The sequence below is a fragment of the Homo sapiens genome, chromosome Y (genome assembly GCF_000001405.40).
Source record: "Homo sapiens chromosome Y, GRCh38.p14 Primary Assembly".
In the NCBI taxonomy this organism is placed as follows: Eukaryota; Metazoa; Chordata; class Mammalia; order Primates; family Hominidae; genus Homo; species Homo sapiens.
The window spans coordinates 14,522,235-14,537,574 of record NC_000024.10 but is presented as its reverse complement, the minus strand read 5'-3'; the positions used below and the strand labels follow the sequence as shown (position 1 = coordinate 14,537,574).

The window sequence follows — 15,340 nt, the reverse complement described above, 5'->3', positions numbered from 1 at the left end:
AACTGTCTTCCATTCTGACTTGCTATGGTGAGCTAAGACTAGCAAGGATGTCCTGGATGGATCAATTTGTAACATATCTGCTTATGCCAATTCATGAGAAGCTTACAACATTAGAAGAAATATCAAATGGGCAAAATAAAGCAAAGTGCATGATTTCATTTTCAAAGCAGACCTTTTTTATTATGCAGCACAGATTGAATAACAGATAAATCAGGATGCAGTTGGCTTCATTGAACATAACTTGCTATAAGCATCTACAGGAACACCCAATGCTGGAAAATTCCCTTCCAGGAAAGGCTGAAACTGACCACAGCAGGGACAGCTGTTTCTTCACTAGCCAATCAGGATGCCTACCCAAGTGTGACCAAAAGCCTCTGAGATTTAGTCTTTCACTCCAGAATACCCCAAGGTACCTGAGGATGCTCCAGATTTGGGGGCTGCACCATCTGTGGTTTCTCTACATAAAACTATTTTTGTGGAGTTGGGGGTGAGGGAGTATGGTTTACCTTTAAATATAGTTTTGCAAACTGCTTCTCTATTTAGTTGTTTGTTTTTGCATAAGCTGTTTCAAGAGAGAAAAGGTAAGTGCATACCTTGGAATGATTCAGCAACAGAATGACACCAGTCAAATCTGTCCACATAAATGATGCAATTGAATTCTTTTTAAAAGACAGGGTGTCAGTCTGTTGCCCAGGTTGCAATGCAGTGGTGAGGTCATAGCCTACTGCAGCCTCAAACTACTGATAAACTCCTCAAGTGATCCTTATACCTCAGCCTCCTGAGTAGCAGGGATACAGACATGCACCACCCACACCTGGCTTACTCTATTTTTTATTTTTTTTTTATTTTCTGTACATATAGGGTTTTCCAGGCTGCTCTCAAAGTGCTGGACTCAAGTAATGCTCCTGTGTTGGCCTTCCAAAATGCTAGAATTACAGGAATGAGGCACTCCACCCAGCCACATTTGAACTTTTTACCAATACTGCTATGGCATTACAGGTAGAATAATTATTATTTTAAAAACCTTCGGCTGGGTGCGGTGGCTCACGCCTGTAATCCCAGCACTTTGGGAGGCCGAGGCAGGCGGATCACGAGGTCAGGAGATCGAGACCATCCTGGCTAACGTGGTGAAACCCCGTCTCTGCTAAAAATACAAAAAAATTAGCCGGGCGCGGTGGTGGGCGCCTGTAGTCCCAGCTACTCAGGAGGCTGAGGCAGGAGAATGGCATGAACCCGGGAGGCGGAGCTTGCAGTGAGCCGAGATAGCACCACTGCACTCCAGCCTCGGTGAAAGAGCGAGACTCCATCTCAAAAAAAAAAAAAAAAAAAAAAAAAAAAACCTTCAGGAAAATGTGTTCACCAACAAAAAGTGAGCTATGTATGTATCTATGTGTAAATTGCTGTGTAATTTACATATGCAAATATGTGGTTGTAATTTACATATGTATGTATAATATCAAGATAAATGTTGGTCTAGAAAGAAAGAATTTTTTATTATTTGGATCTGACTAGATTAAATGCCCACATACATTTGATTGTGAAATATCTAGACACATAACTATTTGTGTAATTTTACATTAATTTTCAATTGTCATATTCTGGTTATTCATTTAAGGTAGGCTTATTAACTGATATCAAATAAATCCTAGAAAGTTATTTTACTGGTAAAATTGTCATGGCAGACTGAATCATAGTAAATAACCATTGTCACACAAATTTTATGTGAAGCCATGTGTGAATTATTATTCCATCCTCAGAATATGGTACCATTTGATCTCTACCTAGGTTGTCAGATTTTTTTTCTGAGGTAGTGTTTTTCCCATATCAATGCCCTCATTAGAGTTGGCTGGCTAGTTTCAAGCTGCAATTTCAAGCTGCAACAAATTCAGATCAAATTCAGATTCCCGCCCCATCCCCCCAACCCCCGCCCCGCCAATCCCTTGCCCTAGGCCTTCTACTACTACCGTTCCTGTGTCTGCTTTGTATTTTCAGTCTCTGCACAGGTAACTGGTATTTAATTTCCATGTAACTGCTACACTTTCTCCCTGGTATTTAACTTCAATGTAACTTGTTACCCTTTCTCCCTGGGTCACCCTTACTGTTTGTTACTGTTTTACACAGCATTAAGGGCCTTGTCTTGACCTTCCTAATGGTCAAGACATTTTAGCTTGTAACCAGAACCCTCTGAGGTAACAGGCAACCAGAAACCCAAATGTAATGGTTTTGTTTGTGGTTTGTTTATATTTGTTTTCACTGCTGTTGTTATTTTCTAAATGTCTTGTCTACTGCTCACTGGTTCTGATGCATTAAGTCTATCTGTTCCACATCATTCTCTGTAATGGGATCTACATTATTCATTTCTTTCCACAGCATACAATTGGCATGTGGGTAAATTTGCAATACTGGTATGCATGTTAGGGCTTCTTCAGCCAAAAGAGCAAGCCTGCTACCTCAAGCCTAGGACAAACCTGCCATCGAAAGCATTACCTAAGACAGGCAGCCTTCTCCCCTCCCTCAAGGATAATATTAACTACATAATGTTTATCAAATACTTTTGTCTCCTTGCTCATCAACGATAGTAGTCTGTCTGTTGAAGGAGTTAAAATTGAACTACATAATCACCCTCTGAGAATTCAAACATGAACCTACCTGCTAATATTTGGGCCATGTAGCTCTGATGATTTTGCCTTTAACTGTTTAAGAAAGATGTGTGAAGACTGAATCAAACTGTTCTTTTTCTTAATTTTTGACAGGACATGAGAGATTAAACACACACACACACACACACACACACACACACACACACGAGAGATAAAATATTCAGATAAAACTTATTTGTTCTCAAACATAAGACCAGTAAGACCAGAGGTGCAAAATAATATTAGCCTATCGTTAATATAGGAAAAATAAACAATTTCATTGTATTTTTATCCCACTTCTTGGCACTCAACAAGTTTTGAATAAGTAAATAAAATAAAGAAAAAATCAACAAGTTCATTTCTCCAAATTATTTTGGTAATTTAAAGATACTTCATATCCTGTTGGCACTTCTTTCTGCTCTGTGTCAATGGAAGTATTCTGAATACTGTTAGGTAGTTAATTTGATTAAAATTCATTACAAAGAACCAACCTTAAGTTATTTGGTATGCCTGCTAAATCCATTAGTATAGGAGGCTTTAAGGCCATAATGTGTCTGTCTTCAGGGTAAAATTCAAGAGAGGCAAATGATACATGAGGTTTTCCAGAAATATTGGACCAGGGAGCCTCTTCAAGATAGAATACCTGATTCGGGAGTTCTTATACTTTTTAAAGAATCATTTGCATTTCTCTAATGACCAGTGATGATGAGCTTTTTTTCACATGTTTGTTGGCTATGAATCAGTTCAACCATTGCAGAAGAGTGTGTGGAGATTCCTCAGGGATCTAGAACCATAAATACCATATGACTCAGCCATCCCATTACTGCGTATATACCTAAAGGATTATAAATCATTCTACTATAAAGACGCATACACATGTATGGTTACTGCAGCACTGTTTACAATAGCAAAGACTTGGAACCAAACTAAATGACCATCAGTGATAGACTGGATAGAAAAAAATGTGGCACAAATACACCATGGAATACTAAGCAGCCATGAAAAAGAATGAGTTCATGTCCTTTCCATGAACGTGATGAAGCTGGAAACCATCATTCTCAGCAAACTAACAGAGGAACCGAAAACCAGCACCACATGTTCTCATATAAGTCCAATCTGAACAATGGGAATACAGGGACACAGGGAGGTGAATTTCACACACTGGGGCCTGGTGCAGGGTGGGAGAAAGGGGGAGGCAAAGCTCTAGGACAAATACATAATGCATGTGGGGCTTAAAACCTAGATGGCTGGTTGATAGGTCCAGCAAACCACCATGGCACATGTATAACTCTATCACAAACCTGCACATTCTGCACATGTATCCAAGAACACACACACAAAAAAAAGAATCTTCATAAAATATTTTCCTCTGAGACAATGTAATCTATGCTCCATCTTTAAGCAATCCTAGCTCAATAGTATGAGTGATGTTATCTATTTTAAAGGTCCTCTCATGACTCTAAAAGACCTTAAATTGATGAAAAAAGTAAATTATATGAGCGGCAGTAGAGTTTGAAGCAATTACCTGTGATGTTACCAGATGTTTTAGACTAAAATATATTACAATTCAAGGTACTGTTCATGCCTTAAAAATGCTGAAATATCTGACTGTTGCTTATTGATTTTAAAAAGTATGTAGGAAATAGCCATAAATTAATCAAGCTGTTTCCACTACCATATGTTAAAAAAAAAGGATCACTAATATTTGAATGTTTTTGTTGAATCAAGGTAATCTGCTTTATGTGTGCATTCATCCATATAACTTACTAAAATGAAAACTAAGGTTTTATAAATGTAGGGTTTGACAAAGTTTTAAAATCTAACCAGCTATACAAATATAGTATATGAAAAATTCTATTAAATTGTAAAGAACATGCTAATTTCTCATTCCAGGAAGCTTTCTTTTCATTACTCTTTCCTATTTGATCTGTTCTTCAATAGAATTATCTTCATTTTCCCTTTAATATTTTAAGGACCCTTGAGATTTTATCACTCATCCAAATAGCATAAAGGAAAGAGGGAAGAAGAAAGGAAGGAAAGAAGGAAGGAAGGAAGGAAAGAAGGATGGAGGGAGGGAAGGAGGGAGAGAAAAAAAGGAAGGAAAATAGAGAAAAAGAAGGAAGGAGGGAGGGAAGTAAGGGAAGAAGGAAGGAAGGGAAGGAGAGAGGTATGAGGATGAAAGAAAAAAAATGTAATGTATACAACAAAAATGAAAGAAAGTAATCCATACCTGAACTAAAAATCTTAACAACGTTCTTGTGAACATCCACACATAGGCAGGATTTTTTAGAGTACAGGGATGGCCTATTTTGCCTCTCCATTACCAGCTCAGAATTTGCTTTCTGGCCTGTATCTGGCATATAGTAGATGATCAATAAAAATGACAAATGAAAGAACATACTAGGTGGCTCTATATAAGAGCTAGCTCCTGCTCTATATAAGAGCTAGCTCTATATAAGACCTAGCTCCTCCAATAAAAAAGCTGTTTTGCACAAAAGGATAAATTGATCTTAGTCACTGATTTTCTTTCTTGCCATTAACTAGAGCACTAAACCCCTAAGCCTTCCATGTTGATTTTTCATCTGGAGCAAGACCACAGAAGTGATTTTGCCAACAGAATTGGTCCCACAGAGGGATAAAAGCTAAGCATAGGTCCAGGGACATCACCACCTCCCACCCCGAACACACTGAGGACATTGCCAATTTGTCATGACTTCCACACAACCTCAGGTAGTTTCTCAGTCTATAAGCAGATGTTGTCTATCCATCTCGGTGGGAGAGACACATGGCTTGACACATCCTCCCACTCAAATGAGCTTTCCTGACTGGTTCACAAAACACACGAAAGGTCGATTTCTCAGGATTCACAGAGTGCCATGATGTGCTTGCTATCATATTACAGTCATTTATAGCTCTTATGCTCCACTTGAAAGTAAAGTTGTAGTTTCCATGGACCACTACGCATAGTAACCATAGCTCCTGTGAATCAGCCTAGAAGTTCACTCACCACCTATAACACAGTTTCTTTTGGAAAATGCATGTCTATATATATAGTTTGCAGTATACTACATATATAGTTTGTATGTATTTTTAATACATAAAAAGCAAGAAAAATACATATACAGAACATAAATATATACATATTTTATTATAGATTTAGATGGATTTTATTATATCTTATATACAATAGGTATATATAATAGCAATATATAAATTATATTTATTACACAATATATAATACATTATATAATATAAAAATTGTATTTAAATGAGTTATACTCAATATATAATAAATAAGTATACAAAACACATTTTTATTATATATTTATGACTTATTGTATATGCTATATATTAATATATAACTTATATTTATATAATACATTTTATGTTTAGATAAATTGTATTTTGTATAAGTAAGTTTGCAAGTGATAAAGGCTTTCATCAGTAATATAAACTGTATATAAATACAATTATGTAAATGTACATAAATACAACTATCTAGAAATAAATATATATTAAACAGCTATTGAAGATGACAGTTTTATTCAAGTATAGAAGTTGTATACAAATACTATTATATAAATGCACATAAATGCAATTGTATATAAATTACATATTGTATGTAGAAACTGAAATGAATAATCTATGATCTGTGTATGTTTATATGCACCCTATTTTATATATAGATATAGATATAGATGATGAAGGCTCTATAGATATAATCTGCAAATAAAACTATTTTGTCCATCTTAGTTATACTCGTAGCTGTTAAGTGACCTAGCCCATTTCTTTCTGCACACCTGTATACTGATGCTTCAGAAACATAAGTCTGCTTACAGTCTCATCATGTGTAAGTAGATTTCTAAAGAGCCTGTGCACAGTGGTGAGTGAACAACCTAAATGAGAAACCCTCTAGCATTCACTCACTTCTTCTCTAGTTATTACCTGGGATTGTCAATGCTTTTCCATAAGTACAAGGGTGAATAAGTAGTGCACATTAAATTTGAGTTCAAAGGAAGTCTGCAGGAAGAGAGGGACTCAAGTTCATAAAGAGACTATAATGAGGTTCTCAACATTTGTGACTTCAAACTCCTTCATATTTATTGAAAGTCAATGCTGGGTTTCTGAAGCTGGGCTGTTACAATGCTCTACAAGCTTTCTGTAAGGCTTCAATGGGAACAGTCTCTCAGGCCAGCCTTTGGGCACCGAGAGAAATAAAGGTGAGAATCTTCTACAAAGTCAGATAAAAGGGTTATGAATTTAGCCTTAGTAAAGAGTGCCCAGTTTGATCACTGTAAAAGTTGTCAATTGCTCCATGAAAGAATACCACATTGCACAATATTGATGGACAAGACAGAGTAGCATTTTGTCACACATATAGTTTCACCATAAGCATAGGCAATAACACCTTTTTTGGAATCAGAACTCAATTTAGAAAAAAAATATTCCAGGAGACCTAGAGAAAATGGGCACCTGTCCCTAAACACATACTTTATACTACTTAGGTCTCACTTTAATGAATATATTCACTCCTAAATGAAGATTACACCCAGGCCCATCATAGGTAACTTTACACCTTTCATTGTAAATTTTCTATTTTTATTTTTTATGTTTTATTTATATATATTTTTTAGAGATAGGGTCTTGCTCTGTCTCTCAGGCTGGAGTACAGTGGTGTAATTATAGCTCACTGCAGCCATGAACTCCTATGTTCAAGTGATCCTCCCACCTCAGTTGGAACCACAGGTACTTGCCTAGTGCCAGCTACTTTGTTTTTAATTTTTGTTTCTTTGTGGAGTTAGGGTCTCACTCTATTGTCCAGGCCAGGTGTTATGGATTGTTTAATATAACATAGGTTTGGTGAATGATGGGAATAAAAAAAGGAAAGTAACTAATGAAAAATGATATTTTTCCTTCAGATATATATATATATATATATATATGTACATATATGTGTTTATACATGTATGTACATATGTGTGTGTATATATATACACACACACACATACTTGCTTTTATCTAGTGTGTTAGAATGGCTGAGAAAAACATTTTCTGCAAGGACTAGTTCCTAGTTAGTGTGTTGGCATATGTGCACATGTATGTGTATACACCTGCTCATACATACTGCCATTCTTACAGTGTAGCTTCAGGGCATGAGGGCATATTGTCTCACTTAGGAAAACAGTTAACAATGATAAAATTTGTTTGTGAAAACACGCATTTACTTTTGTGAGTTTCCTCACCTAACCCACTCACAGAGTTATATTCACAGAGAGTAGTGAGGACTGGAACAAGTTAAAGACACTCAGTTGCAATGAGTTTCTTCTGCCCCCATCCCCCATGCTTTTGGGACCATAGTTCCATGCTGAACAGCTCTGACTGACCATTGGAGTCACATGGCATGCCTCACTGAGTTCTTGGAATTGCCCGTCCCATACTCCAGAGCCACATATTGGTGTTGTTGAAATACTAAACATGGAAAATGGCACCGCATGCAACTTCACTACAGCCATCATCAAAGAACCAAGGAGGCCTTTTCCACACCTTGTGAAAACAAACCACAAGTCACCATGGCTCTTTTATCAGTGCCAATAACACTTTTAGTAACCTCAGTCCTTTTTTTTTTTAAAGGATCCAAAAACTTACTACCTAATGCAACTTGAAACAACTCAAGTTCCTTTTCAGCTTATTGACAGGCTACGTTTCATGACTGAAAAAGGTGCCCTTAGCAAAATATGTGTCCCCTTTCCCCACCCAAAGCATACAAACAACCAAACAAAAACAGAGAAAATGAGCCTGGATGAAGGGTTGATGTGGGAGCCAGGAGACATGCCCACAGATGTTAATAAAATCACATGTCTGGGGTGATGGCTTTGAGATCCAGGTTTTCATCATCCAATCAGATACTGGCCTCTTAAAACCAAAATGATCATCGATATTAACAGGTGGAGCTAAGAAAGTCCCATTGTAAGCCAAAAATACCACTCTGTTACTTTGACAAATCATGATTTCTTTATGTAATGTACATTTTAAATAGAACAACCCAAACAAGATCCTGGGCCACTTCTCCACATTTCCAGAGAGCAGTGAAAGCCTAGATCATTTCATTAGCAATATAATGAAATTAACATTTCTCTCTTCGAAATGTATTCTTCAACCAATGGGACTATGAATGTTCACTGTACTTCATCTCCCGTCTAAAGTATGGACGATTACTCTTTTCCTGTCTTAAATAATAAAACCTCATGATATGATTTGACTGTGTCCCCACCCAAACCTCATCTTGAATTGCGGCTCCACAATCCCCATGTGTCATGGGAGGGACGTGGTGGGAGATAATTGAATCACAGGGGCAGTTTCCTCCATGCCATTCTCATGATAGTAAGTTCTCACAAGATCTGATCGTTTTATAAGGGGCTTTCCATGAATCACTTGGTTCTCATTCATCTCCTTCCTGCCATCCTGTGAAGGATGTGTTTGCTTCCCGTTTCCCATAATTGTAAGTTTCTTGAGGCCTCTCCAGCCATGCTGAACTGCGAGTCATTTAAACTTCTTTCCTTTATAAATACAAACCTTATTAAAATATATATTACTATATATATATAATATACAGTAAGATACAGATTTTACTCTATATATATAGTTACATATATAGAGAGAGTTTTTAAAAATATTGTTGGGGTTAGGCCTGCTCTCCTTCAGGTACCATTTCTGGGAAGATGAGCATGCCTTGGGAAGATGTGGTATATGGAGGTGTTCCCCATACATCAGGGACATGTGAACTCAACACAAAATGTCTAAAGTTTGAAATCTCAACCCAAGGTAGATAGGCTGTTTTCCACCATCAACCTTCCACTCCTGTAGTGTTTTTATGAGCCTTTTATTTACTTATTTTTTATTTCATGTAATCACCTGCAGAGAGAAGGCCTTTTCATCTACACATTTATTCAAAGCCTATGAATGTCACAATGACAAACTGCTAGGAGGTATCGCCTTCTTTTTTTCTCATTCATGTGTGCCACTCTGCCCCAAGAAAAATGAGGAAGGGTTTCCTACACTGCCATTCACTTAACAAAAAACAGTGGAGCCTTTCAAAGTCCAAATGTAGGTTGTTTAGATTAAAATGATGAAACTGTAAAATATTCATTGACTGAATGGTAGCAGAGGGCACAGCAGATGACCTAATTGCCTCAATGGCCTGGGCTTCAATTTCCATTCTCACTTTCTCTAAATGACTGGGCAAAAGCTGTATCTTTGATTTAAAACTTGTAGCTCAGGGGTTTAAGAAATAAAAGGTGGCTATACAGAAGGCACAGTCTGTCTGAAAATCCATTCACATAATTAAGTAGGAGATGAAGACTCTCCTCTGAAAAAGTGTAGTACTCAGACAAAAACAAAAAACAGCAATGGATTTGAACTCAACTGAACATATTTTTCCCATTTAGGAATAGAATACATATTGTTAAAAATCAGAAAGTAGTATAGAAAGAATACATTCTGGTTTACAAACTAAAATTGTGTTGCTTAAACTTGACATTCACATCCTAAGACCGGCTCTCACCATATTTGGAATTTAAGTATATTTTAACCACATACGCCTGTCTTCAGAAGGAGGACATTAAATGACTTAAAATATTTTTATATTGCTACTTCATTTGAATGCAATATTCACAATATTCGCTCAGCAACTTGCATTATTGACAATATTCAAAGTTTTAGGAAAGGTTTGAAGTGTGGAGTACCAATTAAAATGAAAGAATGTTTAAAAAAGGTCATTCGGTCATGCACTTGAATGTTTACTTTTGTGAGATCCTTTTTTGTGGTGTAGAAATAAAAGCACAGTATTCCAAAGAGATTTTAAAGAGACCCCTGCACTTGTGAAAGCAATTCTCTGATGGCGAGTCAGTCAAAAGCTCCTGTCTTTGTGGAGAGACTATAAGCTTTCCACAAATTACTACACACACAAAAATGAAAAAGCCAAATTCACAAATTAAAAACAAATCTGTATGCTTACCATTAGTCTACATTCCAGGCCCAAAACTGTGAACTTTCAAATTCCTTCAAGTCTGCTTGTAAATTTTACAGCATCAAGATAACATAATTATCTACCTTATGCAGCCACTAGTCCCTTACCAAGTATCTGTTATATTCTTAGGTTTGGGTAAAAATCAGCTAGGTTACTGGTTTTAGGGCCTACTGTATATGAAGCATTAGTTTATTTAAATAAAACACAAAGAAAAGAAAAATTCTTTCACCAGAGCAGAAAACATCAAAGCAACTTTAAAATGGTATCCAAGCACAAACATTATTATGAATATGCAATTATCATTCTAGTGTTACACACACACACACACACAAAATCAAGCCTCCGATTTTAATCCACTGATTTAAAACTGATGAAGTAATTTTCCACTTCCTACAATGGCCCTGATTATGTTTTTACATGTCAAAGATACTCTTTAAAAAGACTACATACACACACACACACACACACACACAGACACACATACAGAAATATGGAATGCATGTGTGTGTAGAATGCATTCATTGCATTGTGTAATAAAATACCGGATTTCTAATCTGAGAAAATACATCCTTGCAGAGGTCTCCATGAAATTCCTATATAGCCATCCCCCAACCCCTTAACATTTTGCTCATTTCCACAGGAAAATCTATGCTAAGGATTTGATGGATTACTGCTAACATCTTCACCAGGGCCAACTAAAGGTATGAAATAATTCTCCACTCTCCAAATCTGCCCTCACAAAACTGTAGATTTCTTTGAGATCTGATTTCTCCCAGCTCTGCCATCCTCTAGGAAAAGGCTCAGTGCGTTCATTGAAAGCAATCAGGTCTCTTGTAGTTTCTGCCACTTTGTTTTCATCAAAGTCAGGTGTTTGCACCCTGGCCATTTAATTTCTAGTTGGAGAAGAAAGAAGCTATCCAAGGATTTCTGAAACACGCACTTCTATGTTGCCCGCAGAACGACCACACAAACTGGCAATTCCGGCTTCGTGGGGATAATGAAGTCTCCCTAAACTTCTTATTTTGTTTATTTTTCCTTTTCTTTGCTTTTGCCTCCCTCACATCACAGGAGCGACTGATTCTGAAATGGAAGCTTATGCACACCACCCCACTTTTAAGAAAATATAATGCAACGCGGTCTTATGTAAACCCTACGGGCAATGGATGCCTTCAAAAAGCATAAGATTGGAGTACACAGAGAAAAAAACATCCCCCACTCCCCACACACAAAAAAAATGAACAATAGAAAAATAAAATAAAATAATAAAATAAAAATAATATAAGCCATACTACCACCTTGTGGATTCAGCTCGCAAGGACGTCACCTGCTTAGTTTCAAAACCCCTACCCAACCCCCACCCCAAATTTCTTAATTTGGGTCCAAATGGTAAATCTGGATCCTCCGTCCTTGCTCCGGGCAGTCTCGCCCAAGCCCTGGGCTGAATTCGTGACTTGGGGGCCCAGTGCCCCAGCTAGCTGCAAGCTCGGGCACATCACCAGGCCCAAAATCCCGCCGCCACCTCCTAGTACCCTTCCACGCTGCCTCCTACACCGCCTTCCCCTGCATCCCCGAGATAGCAGCCGCACATACATGAAAAGAGGCCCACACCTGCGGTAAGGTGTGGAAGAAGCCAGAGAAAAGGAAACCGGGAAAAAAAAAGAAAAAAAGAAAAAGCCTTCTCAAGAAGGGGAGGGGTATGATGCGTAGGACATCCTCCGGGTTCACCTCGTTTTCCGAGCGAGACATTTGTTCCCAGGGTGGTCCTAGGCAGGCCTCTGGGGTGCAAGGGTTGCCCTGACGCCCCCGCTCCCGCTCCCGCTCCTCCGGGTACAAAGGGCCCTGTGTCTGGCGGCGACTAGGCTCCAGAACTGTACGCCTGGGCCCGGATTTGCGCGCGGCACGGGGCCTAGATACCGGGGGCGCAAAGCTCGCGACTCGGCTCACTAGACCCCCGCCGAGGGACCCCAACCTACCGGTTCTCCGAGGGGCGAAAGAGCCAGGTCAGGCTGGGAGGCAAGGGGAGGAAAGGGCGTCCAGGAGACCGCCTGAAGGATGAGAGTGTCCCTGGGGTAGATCGGCCTCCTGGAAAACCGCAGGCAGAGAGCGCCACCGCGGAGTGGAAGGCGCAGGCCGGAACCTGAACCTCTTGTCCCACAGCAAGCCCCCAACCCACTCGTCATCTGCAGCCCAGTGGCACCTACCTCCCTCTCCCCACGCCATCCCGGCCCGCGCTTCCGCAGGTCAAGCCAAGCCGCTTCAGGCGCGGGTTGGGTTGCCCCAGCCGTGGCAGTGGGGAGGGGACGGGGCTGAAGTTCACTCTCTCCCTGCTTCGTCTCACAGCCCCTAGCTCACCCGCCACCGTCTCTGCCGCCTCCGACTGTGCTCTTGGCTGATCTTCGCTTTCAGTTCCGCCTAGGGGAGTGGGAGGGAACGGAGCCGAGCTGCGCGGGAATTGGGAGGTGGGAAGCGGGGGAGAAGAGACCAGATGAAATCGGCCCGGGTCAGCAGAGAGCCTTGAGATGGGATGGTGCGGGAGGAAGGAGCGGGTGGTGGTTGCCTTTTCTAGGGCTGTGGGGATGGTGTGCCTATTGGAACGGATTCCTCAGACCCCTCCCCCATCCCTACCTTAGGGACTGGCAGACCCGCAGGCTTAACACTCCTCCGAACCCCCGATGGGAGAAGGGGTGTTCTTAGTGGGCACCGACTAGGGCTCCGGATCACCTGATACCTAGACCAGGGCTCCGGGCGCCTGTCTTTTCGGCTTCCAACTTTTCCGCTCCTCCGGAAAAGCGGGCAGTTCAGAGATGGTGCCGAGGGTGGCAGCGGCAAACCGCCCTGCACCCCCATCTAAGGTCCAGGCCACACTCAAAGGCTTCCGAAGAAGCAAAACCACCAGCTCTACCCCACTTTTGCGGCTTGCCTCACCACTCCCACCCACGTCGTAACCCACACACACGGGAAAGGGGTGCATGGATACCGCTCCCGAGTTTGGAGGAGCAGCACGGAGCTACAGTCATTTCATCTTCACGCGGGGTTTCCAGCGCGCCCCGATCTTTCTCCAGCCCAACCAAGCCATGCCAGGTCTAATCAATCACTTGGATTATTTCGTGCATCCCCCAAGCCTTATCTTATCCGAGGCCAGGAGATGAAGGAAGGGAAAAAAAAATCTCATAATGCAACCCCAACCAAGCTTTATTTCCCCTTTTCTCTCTGGTTAATGGCACCAACCCCCAACCCCAGCCTCCCAAAAGAAGCACCCCAGGCAGTGGTGGTTTTCTTAAAGAAGACGAGGGCTTTGGAGTGGGGAGAAAAGAGAAGAAAAGCCTTCCATGCTCACAGTTTGCAGAAGTCCTCCTGCTTTCGCCATCTCCAGCCCTGGCCTTTTCCCTCCTTTTCCCCTGTACTGCATGTATGTGTGTGTGTGTACATATATATATGTGTGTGTGTATGTGTACACTCACAAACTCACACATACGCATATATATGTCTGTGTGTATATATATATATATTTTTCCCCTCCTTTCCCCGCCACAGTCTTCCTTTAATTTGTATGGAAGGCAGCGCTACTTTTTAAACACACCGCACATGGCCCCAGAGCTGTTCAAACAGCTGATTGCAGCAAAATGCTTCCAAACAACATTGGTGGTCTGCATTTTTATTTTTAAGTGAAAATAAAACCAAATGTTCCTGTGGAGAGATTGCATGTAAAAGCCATACATCGATGTCCACATTCCCATCCACACCAAAGAAATGGAGCGAGACAGATGGGAGAGAGTCCAGCCCAAATTGTCCAATAATAATAATAATAAAAGGAAAAAATAAATAAATATTAGATGAAATGAAGCTCAAATATCGCCAGTGAGGCTTTCCCTCCTTTGCTGGAGAGCCACTGCAAGTCAAATTGTTTAAACGGCTTTTTAAAATAAGGATAATAATATGCGAAAGACACGTCTTAAAACTGCACCTACCTTAGCTGTGGAAGACCTGCATCGCCGTTAAGAGTTCTTTTTACACATCCAAATTTTTCTAAGGAACCTGAAACGCAGTATGATTCAGGAGGATGTATTGAAAGCCCAGGCGCCTTCCCCTTCGGGAACCCCCCAACTAGATTCGCTCATCCAGAGGAATGCAAGAGCCACCAACATTGCCGGGTTTGGAGGAAATTCATTGTTTCTGCTGTCAATAGTGTGTCCCCGGGCAGAACAAGCATTACAATTGAAGCAGGAAAGGCCGAGCTAGTGGCTGAATAAGAGCTCTGTACTAACAGACAGAGATGGGAGAAAGATGTCTCTGCAAGAAAAAGAGAGCTAGGGGAGAGAGGTCCTTCTGCTTCCGGCGCTCTCCTTCTGCCATTGGACCAAAATGAATGAAATTTACAAACCCAGCAGCCAATAGATCTCCAGAGTCGTCCCAATCGCTACAAAACCCACGTCCACAGCTACAACCTCATGCAAAGAGCAACTAATCCCAGTGCAAACCAGCTGTAACAGAGAGATCCTGGGAACCCTGGAGATAGAGCAGGGTACCCAGATGCGCACAGCAAACCTTCTTCCTCTTTGCTTTTTTAGGAATCTCTAGGTACTCTCCACACCAAACATGATGTCGTATATGCAGACATCTTTAACTGTTTAAGGTCACAGTCTCCAGCAGTCCCTATGTCTGCGTTATTGTGAGT

General features: G+C 40.5%; 1 protein-coding gene across 19 annotated transcripts in view; it reads right to left on the bottom strand.

The window, feature by feature from the left end:
• The window catches only part of NLGN4Y (neuroligin 4 Y-linked), a 323,039-nt gene extending 308,080 nt beyond the window's left edge, over positions 1 to 14,959 (bottom strand). For 6 of the 19 annotated variants that reach the window (XM_011531428.2, XM_047442719.1, NM_001365590.1 and 3 more), the window contains exon 1: positions 12,639 to 13,046. The gene's annotated coding sequence lies outside the window, so the exon portion shown is untranslated. Of the gene's footprint in view, positions 1 to 12,638; positions 13,047 to 13,290; positions 13,604 to 13,676; positions 13,830 to 14,002 lie in introns of those variants that run through there. The other 13 variants (NM_001365586.1, NM_001365591.1, NM_001206850.2 and 10 more) reach the window with 6 other exon arrangements.